The sequence below is a fragment of the Homo sapiens genome, chromosome 1 (assembly GCF_000001405.40).
Source record: "Homo sapiens chromosome 1, GRCh38.p14 Primary Assembly".
NCBI classification, from domain to species: domain Eukaryota; kingdom Metazoa; phylum Chordata; class Mammalia; order Primates; family Hominidae; genus Homo; species Homo sapiens.
Genome location: NC_000001.11, coordinates 151,946,560 through 151,958,638, shown reverse-complemented (window position 1 = coordinate 151,958,638; position 12,079 = coordinate 151,946,560). Strand labels below are relative to the sequence as shown.

The following is a 12,079-nucleotide window of genomic DNA, read 5'->3' as shown; positions in this document are numbered from 1 at the left end:
AAGACAAATTTGTTTATAAAAAAGTTTAGTTTTATCAAATTTTTGTTTGATCATTTACATAAGTGTAGCATGAATAATGACTGATCACATAGAAATCTCAGATTTAAAACTTCTCAAGGTTAGAAAGCCAAACCAAGGCAGACTTTAGATTTTGCCTACTGTCTTAAGGTTCCTGGGCCTGCCAGGAAGTGACAATTTTTATTCACTCAGTGTAAGGCTGGGAACTCTTGAAGTCAGGCATTTTATGTGTATTCTCAAATATGATATTCCAGTGAAAGCCTTGGTAATATAACCAATGTTTCCAATTGTATCCTGTTATAAAAAGAGAGCAAACTTATTGAACTTATGCAAAGAACCATATTGCCTTAAAAAAATAAGAATGTTCATGAATAATTTCTGAATTGTGGAAGGATCAAGTAGAAAGAAAAATAAATGCTTTTAATTTTGTTTATAAAAGTATACCTTGGCCAGGCACGGTGGCACACACCTGTAATCCCAGCACTTTGGGAGGCCGAGGCAGGTAGATCACCTGAGGTCAGGCGTTCGAGACCAGCCTGGCCAACACGGTGAAACCCCGTCTCTACTAAAAATACAAAAAATTAGCTGGGTGTAGTGGTGGGCACCTTTAATCCCAGCTACTCAGGGGGCTGAGGCAGGAGAATTGCTTAAGCCTGGGAGGCAGAGGTTGCAGTGAGCCAAGATTGTGCCACTGCACTCCAGCCTGGGCAACGAGAGCAAAATTCCATCTCAAAAAAAAAAAAAAGTATACCTTAAAATTACTGCAAACTATAGATAGTTTAGGAGAAAAAGTTTTCTTAAATGTGGAAAACAAAACGTTTAAGTATTTCTTTCAATAATACATTTTTTAAAAATTTAAGTAAAGAACCAACAATGTTTCAAATAAAATATATAAAAACGTCTTTACCAGTTATTTAATCTCATGTACTTAATTTTCATTTTGTTTGATCTTGTTTAGCAGTTTCAAATTCATCAGTTTTTTCATTTGAGTTTTGGAAATTTTTACTTAGTCCATTGGTAAGATCTTAAAGTTATTCGAAACCTGTATTAAAGAATAATTGTTAGAGTTTTTTCCATTAATCTGATCATAGATGTTTTTAGAAAAAAATTAAAGCAATGATTACAGATGACAAAATCCTTAGATTAGCCATGATTAAAATTTCGATGAGAGTTCATAATTGACAAGGAAACTTAGTTATTTTTGTGACATACATACATAATAACCAGAATTATGACTGAGGACATATTAAATGTTTAAGAATTTTATACAATTTTTGAACATTCATATCAATAACATACCCATAAGTGTAACTGAAAGAAGAATCTAGCATCACTTATTATTTGACAATGTTTTCCACATAATTCAACATCTCAAATAAGCCTGATTTCGTTTAATACTTCTCTTTTATAAACTTTTGAGATGTTCCAGGGCCCTCTGAAACATCCCAACATTAGTTTGAGATCAAGAAAGACTTAATTTAGAACTTGATCCTGGGGAAGCCTGCCAAAGATGCCAAAAGGTTTAAAATACCTTATCAAAACAGGATCACAGATTACTACAAAATATTAGTCATTTATTTAACCAGAGTGATAATCAAAGGACTTCAAAAGCAATACATAAATTTACATGGATGCCGAAAAAACTCTTTCTAACCACAGTTCTCCTAAGTAATAAAAAGTAATAATAAAAGCAACATGAAACAGAGGGAATTATCTTGATAAAACACAAAATCTTTGTTTCTTGGGCCAGTTACCAAAAAGGTAAAGAAAAACCTCCTACAATGTGATTGCTTCTCCTTCTGGGAAGCTCATTTAGATAACCTGGAAGTCAAGCCTGATGAAAAGGTGTTTTAATTTAATCAGACATAGGAAGAGTGTGTGTCCAAGGTTATGAGTGAGCACCATATTACAGATGAATGCAAACAAGAATACTAGTACATTGAGTGTGGGAATACATGATTCTTAGTAAAAGCATGGAAAATTACCTGGTCACAAGGAATAATTCAGACACAAGAGAAAAGCCAAGAGTACAGAATCAAGTTCTATTAAAGAAAATATTGCTGTAAAGTTCAGACGATGGCTGAAAATTTTTTTAAAAAAACAGATTTCAGAATTAAATTAAAACCTCTTGCAAATATTACTAAGAGCAGATTAATACTTCAAGAAAACCTTGATGTTTTAACATAGGGGACCAAATTTTAGTTTTGTATCAGTGTATTTATATGTATTTTTAAAATCAGGCTGGGTGCAGTGGTTCACACCTGTAATCTCAGCACTTTAGGAGGCCGAAGTGGGTGGATCACCTAGGGTCAGGAGTTCGAGACCAGCCTGGCCAACACAGTGAAACCCCATCTTTACTAAAAATACAAAAATTAACTGGGTGTGGTGGCATATGCCTGTAGTTCTAGCTGTTTGGGAGGCTGAGGCATGAGAATCGCTTGAACCTGGGAGGCAGATGTTATAGTGAGCCAAGATTATGCCACTGCACTCCAGCCTGGGCGACAGAGCAAGATTCTGTCTCAAAAAAAAAAAAGCTCAATCTTTAGAAAGACTTATAAATAATTACCTTTTAATTATAGCCATCTTTATCACATACAAAATTTCTTTCATAAATTCATCCTTTACTTCCACGACTTACTCAGACCTTCCACAACATACTAAGACCATTAGTTTTGTCCTATACTTCCTCTTTTTTAAATAACCAATCATTTTACTTTAGGACAAAATTTTACCACACTTGATTCTTTCTCATACAAAATTATTCTCTTTTATTTTTAACCTTCTTCACCAAAAATACATCTTCATACTTATAACTTTTTTTCACATCTCTGTCTCTCATACTTACTGGCTTCTTTTTATCTTGTTTTTGTTGCTTTTTTAAACTTACTTTTTGAAACACTCTTAAATAAGGTCTGAATTTAGACAAAATTACTTTTTAATAAACAACACATTTTTATACTTCTAAGTATTTTTTAATAAAAAAATTGTTAACATATATATATATATATATGTATTTGAATTGGTTTTTTATTTTTATTTTTGTTTTTGTTTTTTGAGACAGGGTTTTACTCTGTCACCCAAGCTGCAGTGCAGTGGTATAATCACAGTTCACTGCAACCTCGACCTCCTGGGCTCAGACAGTCCTCCTGCCTCAGCCTCCACTGAGTAACTGAGACCACCAGCATGTGGCACCACGCCTGGCTAATTTTTTAATTATTTATACAGACAGGATCTCCCTATGTTGCCCAGCCTGGTCTTGAACTCCTAGGTGCAAGTAATCCTCTCGCATCAGGCTCCCAAAGTGCAGGTACAGGCATGGGCCACAGCATCTGGCCAGAATTATCAACTCTTAATAACATTAATGTCTAGCAAAAACCTAGGAAGCAAGACATTTTGAACTGTCACATACATTTTATAGACAAGAACCATTTAATAATTTTTAGAAACATGTTTTTCTATATATTAATAAGCCCAAATATATTTAGTCTAGTCTTTTTATTAAATTTAAAAAGCCAGCCGAGCACGGTGGCTCATGCTTGTATTTCCAGCACTTTGGGAGGCCAAGGTGGGCGGATCACTTGAGCTCAGGAGTTTGAGACCAGCCTGGGTGACATGGTGAAACCCCATCTCCACTAAAAATACAAAAAATTAGCTGGGCATGGTGACAAGTACCTGCAGTCCCAGCTACTTGGGAGGCTGAGGTGGGAGGACTGTTTGAGCCCAGAAGGTAGAGGGTGCAGTGAGCTGAGATAGCGCCACTGCACTCCAGCCTGGGTGACAGAGCCAGACCTTGTCTCAAAAGAAAAAAAGCCAAGAACAAACTTATATTTATGTTCAACAATTTGTGTTTTAGTATTTTATCTTATCTGGAAATGACCCAGACATTTAATGAGTATGTATTACTTAATTTAATGTAACATAACTTTCAGATTTTAAATTACATGAAAAATTTATTTAAAAATATTTATCCCATTATGTTTACCTAATTTATTGTTAACAATTATACCTAGATTACTTATGAAAACTGAGCTATTAGACAAAGCTAGTCATCATTTCAAGCTTTTGTTGTTGTCATTAACTATTCTTACAGTATGTGAATTTCAGGTATTCACCTAAGTAAGAATCTTACAGATAAACATATGGGTATTTTGCTGAGAACAAGATAACAAAAATTTTGCTGATAATAGCTGTTTTATTAAATTAACATTATTAAATTTGTCTTACTTATTAAAGTTACACAAAGATCATTTTATTTTTAGACTAGATATACAGTTTTATAAACTTTGTGTCAAATCCTGACCCCTTAAAACATTTAGCAGAGACAAATATAAAACTGTCTAATCGGTAAACTCAGTCAAAAATATATGCTGACAATTCTGAAGACATTTCTATTTTTATTTTATCAACAGAATTAAAACTAGCATATTTATCAAAGATTTATTTAAGTCACATGAACTAAAATGCATTTGGGTTAGTTACTATATATTTTAACAATTTATATGAGCATTCACTTATCTAGCCAATCTGAATAGAATTTCTTAAGGGAATTCTACTGACTACATCAGGTTTTACCATATAGATACAACACAGAAAATAATAAATGTACATATGTGTAGGCACACCTAAACACAAAGATTTTGTGGCTTTTATTTTAGGATTTTATTCATGAGACAGTAAAACATAGTAATACAAACTCACCCATTGTGGAGGAAAAGTTAAATATTAAATTTGAACTCAATTAAACATGAACACAAACAATAGTCACCAAGTCCTGGAACAGGTTGTTTGAGCCCCTTGAGGCATTCATCCAGCGCTGTTTCAGAAAAATCTCTATTTCAATCTATTCCTGTACATTAGTTATTGAAAAACAACAGACAATCACAAAAACAGGTTGACCTTTTTGTGTTCCTTGAGCCCAGTTGCGAAGGGCCCTCCTGACTGGACCTCATGCCAAACAACTCGTTACAAAAAGAGATAGGGTCCCAGACCGCACCGAAGCTTCATGAGGCCGCTCCTCATCTGTGCACGGATGAGTGGTGGACTCTGGAGCCCAGGCTGTTACTTCCCAGTCTGGTGGTGAGTGTCCAACTCTGGAGCCCAGGCTGTTGTTTCCCAGTCTGGTGGTGAATCCTCCACAGTCTGGTGAGTGTAAAGATATATATATATATCTTTTTCCTTCTCCCCTTCCCATTGCAATTTGCTTATTATATCATTTGCTTATTTTATCTGCGCTGCCATTTACGTGGGATAAAGGTTGTTTACCCTTAAAGATATTGTGTGTGTGATCTTTCTTCTCCCTTCATGCATTTCCCACACAGAACACCCATTTATAAAAGACAGTTGTATTCAAATTATATTTCTGACAAAATGGGACCTGTTCACATGGCTAAATTTTATTTTCTCTGATAGGTAATCTAACAAAGGCTGTGGACCAAAATATTGGGAAAAGTAGTTTGGATTTTTTAAATCTCTTTTACCCCCTTTTTTGTCTCAAATGAGTTTAGGGGGTTAAATTTTTAAATGTTTACATTTTAGCTAGAACTGGCTGAAGAGTATAAGAAACCAAAATTTCCAAGCAGCCTTGAATTAGTAACAATCTATCTTTTGTTTGTCAGTCTGGTTTGCTTGACTAGTCAATGCAGTTGTGAAAGCATTTTAGAAAAAGTTATTTGTAGGTTTTTTCCTAGCTATTTCTGACCCTTGCATGGCAGATTAATTTTTTTTTATGCCAGACAGAGTTACCTTATATTATTGCTCAAGATTTTTACCTGTTCGACCTATGAGCCTAACTTTTATAAATTTATTTAGTTTATTTCTTTCAGAATAGCAATCCTTCAATTAACTGTTTCATCACTCTAAGCTATTATTAGCCAAATTTACATTTTCAAAAGGTTTGACTCTTAGATGTCTAGGTTATTTATTTCCACAGAGCTATTGTAATTTGTAAAGTCATTAATTTAAAAGTCTTTTAAGATTTCTTTTTTTATGTTGGCTGGAATGTCAAAAGCAGAGAATTTGTCTTAATACCGGTAGAAAAGTCAGCAGATTCAAAGTAGGCAGAAAAAAATAGAGAATTTAAAGGCCCTACATGTTAGCTCTATAGTTGCTGGCAGTTTAAAAACTAAGCTTACAGAGTTCAAATAATGTCCCTTGAGCTCTGAATTTTTCTTGATGTAATTTTCCATCAGTTTAAAAAATGTGCTCAGCCAGGCGTGGTGGCTCACGCCTATAATCCCAGCACTTTGGGAGGCTGAGGCAGGCAGATCACGAGGTCAGGAGTTTGAGACCAGCCTGGACAATATCATGAAGCCCCCGTCTCTACTAAAATTACAAAAATTAGCCCGGTGTGGTGGTGCACGCCTGTAGTCCCCACTACTCAGGAGGCTGAGTCAGAAGAATCACTTGAACCCAGGAGGCAGAGGTTGCAGTAAGCTGAGATCATGCCACTGCACTCCAGCCTGGGCGACAGAGCAAGACACCATCTCAAAAAAAAAAAAATATGCTCGAAAATAAGCCATAAGTTTTGAATGTATAGCCAGCTGGAGTACTAAAGGGTTTGATATGCTTTTGAATTTTGAAGATCCTGTTCCATTTCTTATTAATCTCTCCAGAGCAAAGAAAATCTTATAAATCCTGTCAGAAAATACCAGGAATTTGGACTGGTGCTTTGATGGTGGTGACCACCATAGTGGCTTTTCATTCCATCTTGTTTCCACCATTTAGAATATTTATTTTTTGCTCTTGAAAGATTTTCAGAAATAGGAGGTACGGGCTTTGGAGGGTGGAGTGGGAATTTAAAAGCCAAATCATTTACAGATACATATAACAAAACCAGATGAAACCAAAATAAAAGTTCTCACAAACACTTTAAGCCAGGCATGCAAACCAAACAAAATATTGAACCAAAATTGAAATAAAAGAACAAAAAATGAATTCACAAGAAAAGACACATCTCACAGATAGAATGTAATTCTGGTGAAACCATAATACATTCCAAAGGACATGGCTTGACAGCAAAGTCTTCTATAGTCCTAAGACGGATGCAAGGTCCTTTACTTAAAGCAGCCTTATAACCAAACAGATCCTGAATAAAGTCAAAAGAACCCACCCAGCCAGGCGTGCTGGCTCGTGCCTGTAATCTCAGCACTTTGGGAGGCTGAGGCAGGTGGATCACGAGGTCAGGAGATCAAGATCATCCTGGCCAACATGGTGAAACCCCATCTCTACTAAAAATACAAAAATTAGCTGGGCGTGGTGGCACGTGCCTGTAATCCCAGCTACTCGGGAGGCTGAGGCAGGAGAATCGCTTGAACCAGGGGGTTGGAGGTCACAGTGAGGGCAACTGCACTCCAGCCTGGCGGACAGAGCAAGACTCCATCTCAAAAACAAAAAACAAACAAACAAAAAGAACCCATCAAAGGGTGGGAGTCTGAGAATCCAAAATAAAATTCAGCAGGGCAGAACAGGTGACTCACACAAGCAAAGAGCACCAACACCTCAGTTGGAACTGCACTCAATTCCAGTATCTGTGGATCCATCTGAGGTGAGCTCGCTTTGGTCTTGCTTCTGGCACCATTTATGTCAACCTAAATAACAGACAGAAAGAGGCTCTCTAAAAGAAGACAAGGCCCACCTAGAAGCAGTTTCTCGGCTCCTTCTCGAGTCTCTATGTGGTTCCACTTGCCTGCCTCCACTTCTGCCTACACCATGTCTACCAGGGTGACCTGGAAGTCCTACGGGGTGTCCCCCTTGGCCCCAGGGCCCTCAGCAGCTGCTCCTACAAGAATGGGCTGGTGCCTGCATCAGCTCCTGGAGCTCCTCCCAAATGGGCAGCAGCAGCAGCTTCTGGAGTGGCTGGGTATCAGCATGGGTCTGGGTGGAGGCTATGCCAGGGCCAGTAGTATGGGAGGCATCACAGCCGCCATGGTGAACCAGAGCCTGCTAAGCCCCTTAAGCTGGAGGTGGACCCCAACATCCAAGCCGTGAGCACCCAGGAGAAGGAGCAGATCAACACCCTCAACAAGTTTGCCTCCTTCATCAACAACGTGGGGGTTCCTGGAGCAACAGAACAAGATGCTGAAGACCAAGTGGAGCCTCCAGCAGCAGGAGAGGAGGCTGGAAGCAACATAGACAGCGTGTTCCATAGCTACATCAACAACCTTGGGTGGCAGCTGGACACTCTGGGCCAGGAAAAGCAGAGGCTGCTGGAGGACTTCAAGAAGAAGTAGGAGGGTGAGACTGATAAGCCAACAGAGATGGAGAATCAATCTGTCCTCATCAAGAAGGACGCGCATGAAGCTTAAGTGAACAAGGTAGAGCTGGAGTCTCGCTTGGGAGAGCTGACTGATGAGATCAGCCTCCTCAGGCAGCTGTATGAAGAGGAGACCTCCAGACTCGGACACATCTGTGGTCCTGTCTATGGCCAAAAGCCGCACACTGGATGTGGGCAGTGACATGGCCAAGTCCCCAAGTGGGAGGAGATAGCCAAAGCAGCTGGGCGAGGCTGAGAGGGCACCAGATCTAAGTGTGAGGGGTTGCAGACACTGGCTGGGAAACACAGGGATGCCCTGTGGTGCACAAAGATGCAGATCTCAGAGATGAACCCGAACATCATCTGGCTCCAGCTGATACTAAGGGCCTCAAAGGCCAGAGGGCTTCCCTGGGGTTCACCATCGGAGAGCCAAGCCGCTGGCTATAAAGGAGCCAACGCCACGCTGGCAGAGCTGGAGGCCACCCTGCAGTGGGACAAGCAGGGCATGACATAGCAGGTACGCGAGTGCCAGGAGCTGATGAACGCCAGGCTCCCCTGGACACTGAGTTCACCACCTACGGGAAGCTGCCGGAGGACAAGGACAGCAGCCTGGAGTCTGGGATGCAGAACATGAGTATCCATACAAAGACCACCAGTGGCTGCTCAGATGGGCTGAGCTCGGCCTACTGGGCCTCACAAGCTCTGGCCTCAATCACAGCCTGGGTTCCAGCTTTGACTCTGGCAAGAGCTCTGACTCCTTCAGCCGTACCAGCGCTTCCAAGGCCACGGTTTTGAAAAAGATCCAAACCAGCAATAACAAGCTGGTGTCCAGCCCTCTGCTGTCCTGCCCCAGTGAACGGCCATGGCAGCCCCTCCCAGCCTCCTGCTCCTGTGGCTGCCCCAGAGCCTGCAGGGGAGGCCGCTGTGTAGGGAAGCAAGGGGAACAAGAGACCCACCTGAGGCTCAGCCCTAGCCTCCCCTGGGGTACCTCCTCTTGCCCATACCCCCAACTAAAAAACAATTCAATTGTTTTTTTTCCAAAATAAAGCAACAGCTAGCTCTGAAAAAAAGAAGAAGAAGAAGAAAGAAGAAAAAGGAAGAAGAAAAAAAAGAGGAGGAGGAGGAAGGGAGGAGGAGGAGGAGAAAAAGAAACAAGGAAAGAGAAAAGAAAATGAGGTCAGGCACAGTGAGTGGCTCACACCTATAACCTCTAATCCCAACACTTCAGTAGGCCAAGGCAGTAGGATTGCTTGTGGCCAACAGTTGGAGGCCAGCCTGAGCAACATAATTTTTCTACAAAAAAAATTTTTAAAAATTAGTCGGGTATGGTGGCACACCCTGCAGTCATAGCTATTCAGAAGGGCAAGCGGGAGGATCGCTTGAGCCCAGCAGTTCAAGGTTGCAGTGAGCTATGATCGTGCCATTGCACTCCAGTCTAGGTGACAGAGCAAGACCCTGTTTCAAAATAAATAAATTATATTATATCATATTTATTTGGGAATAGGCATTGCAATGGGAATACACATGCCATAGTAAACGTGCATATTCAGGGAGGTAAAGGAAGATAAAGATTTTTAAAGGATAAAAGAGGGGGGATTACACAATTGTTTTGAATCAATTATCCTTGGCTACAAGGATCAACAACACTAGTGGCACCAGTCCCAAGTTGGACAGGCAGTGGCTGGCAGATGTCCTCACAAAAGTATTTTTTTGTGTAAGTTTGTGATGGCCTTTTTAAAAGATTGTGGGTTTTGCAGATTCTTTTCTAATAGTTCTCATTATCAGTCATTTGTGCATAAGAACCTTCCCCAGCTCCATTTGTGAGAATTTTTAACACAAGTGATTCAATTTTGATTTTTTTTTTTTTTTTTTTTGAGACAGAGTCTCACTCTGTAACCCAGGCTGGAGCGCAGTGGTGCGATCTCGGCTCACTGCAACCTCTGCCTCCCAGGTTCAAGCAATTCTCCTGCCTCAGCCTCCCGAGTTGCTGGGACTACAGGCAGGCGCCATCACGCCCGGCTAATTTTTTGTATTTTTAGTAGAGACAGGGTTTCACCATGCTAGCCAGGATGGTCTCGATCTCTTGACCTCGTGATCTGCCTGCCTCGGCCTCCCAAAGTGCTGGGATTACAGGTGTGAGCCACCACGCCCCGCCTCAAGTTTGATTCTTATAACTTTTACAATACCTTGAGGGACTAAAGTCCCTCCCCAAGCCCCACTCCCAAGGACTGACAGACCCTATATCTAGTCTCCCACTACCGCCCCTGCTGGCCTGAATCACCTTTGGCCTCCATGGACACCCTCCGTACTGTGCTCACCTGCAGCAATCTCTGCCTTTCCCATTGCAGCCCACCTCCCCTCCCCCGCCCGACTTGCTCCCCTGAAGGTCTGCTTCTAAAACTGGCCCCAGAGTGATGTGGGGCTGTTGGTGTCCTTGAAGGCAGCAATTGCACATAGAAAAAATTATTTGCAAAATTTTGATTTTTAAAATTAATATTTGCCTTATTAAAATTAAATTTCCGAAACCCAGGTTTGGCCGGGAGCAGTGGCTCACACCTGTAATCCCAGCACTCTGGGAGGCCGAGGCGGGTGGATCACGAGGTCAGGAGATCGAGACCATCCTGGCTAACACGCTGAAACCCCATCTCTACTAAAAAAATATAAAAATATACAAAAAATTAGCCGGGTGTGGTGGTGGGCACCTCTAGTCCCAGCTACTCGGGAGGCTGAGGCAGGAGAATGGCGTGAACCCGGGAGGCGGAGCTTGCAGTGAGCCGAGATCACGCCACTGCACTCCAGCCTGGGCGACAGGGTGAGACTCTGTCTCAAAAAACAAAAAAGAAACCCAGGTTTTTCATCTTTTTGTACCTTAAGTATAAATCTTCATATCCTAGTTTTTAATCAAGCAAAACTCAACAATCACTTTTAAAGGTTGCCTTTCATAATAATCAAATGCCCTTAAATATTATAAAACTGACGTTGAAGATTGAGTATACATATTTTTCTGATTAATCACAGCTTTCATTTGGCTCTTGAGTCACTATAATGTCACCATGCCAATTCATCAGATCCTTCACACCTTATAAAATTATGTTGTTAATTTCTGCGCTTGATTGTATGACTTGGGTTGACTGAAATCTCTATTCTTTTCACTTTTTCCTTCCTTGGCAGGCCCATAACTTGCAAGTTTTTGAATAGCCTCCTTTGGATTCCACATAGTTCTTCTGGTTTTGTTTGGCTCCACAAGTACTACCCTCTGTATTAATGACCCTCCATGATATGCTAATAGCACCCCACTTAAATGACTTGTCTTGTCCCCAGTTTCTGGCCCTCCCTTGGCCAGTCCTCACATCCTTACATGGACCAAGTTCCAGGGATGAGGCCCAATCTTTGTGCTGTTGATCTTTTCCCCTTTCCTGAATGCCCTCACCCTCTTCTCTACCCATACTTCAAAACTCATGTCAAATCCCACCTCCCTTGACCACCACAGCCCATGGTAATTTCTCCCTCCTCTACACACGTATCACCCATTTCTGGTACTATTCATTTAATATTACCATGTGCATCATATTATTGCAAGTTATTTTTTCCTATGTTTTTTTCTCTTCCTTCTCACCTAAGATTATAAGCTCTCAGTAGGAAAGAGCTGTGTTTTACTATGTTTAAACTCCTGATTATATCCTAGCATTGTGCCTTTCTCATGGCAACAGCTCAGTAAGACCTAGTTAAGTGATTGAGTGGTTGACATTTATTAGCATGTCATTTCCTAGAGGGTATGTCCACACTCTGCTCCTGCCCAATATGCTATGA

At 40.7% G+C, this 12,079-nt stretch overlaps 1 long non-coding RNA gene and 1 pseudogene across 1 annotated transcript in view; both read left to right on the top strand.

Annotated features, from left to right (window-relative positions):
- The first annotated feature begins 5,002 nt into the window (after nucleotides 1-5,002).
- The window catches only part of LOC124904421 (uncharacterized), a 31,359-nt gene continuing 24,282 nt past the window's right edge, over nucleotides 5,003-12,079 (top strand). The window contains exon 1 of the long non-coding RNA XR_007066624.1: nucleotides 5,003-5,160. This is a non-coding gene — a long non-coding RNA (uncharacterized LOC124904421). The remainder of the gene's footprint in view (nucleotides 5,161-12,079) is intronic.
- On the top strand, nucleotides 7,647-9,332 carry KRT8P28 (keratin 8 pseudogene 28; annotated as a pseudogene).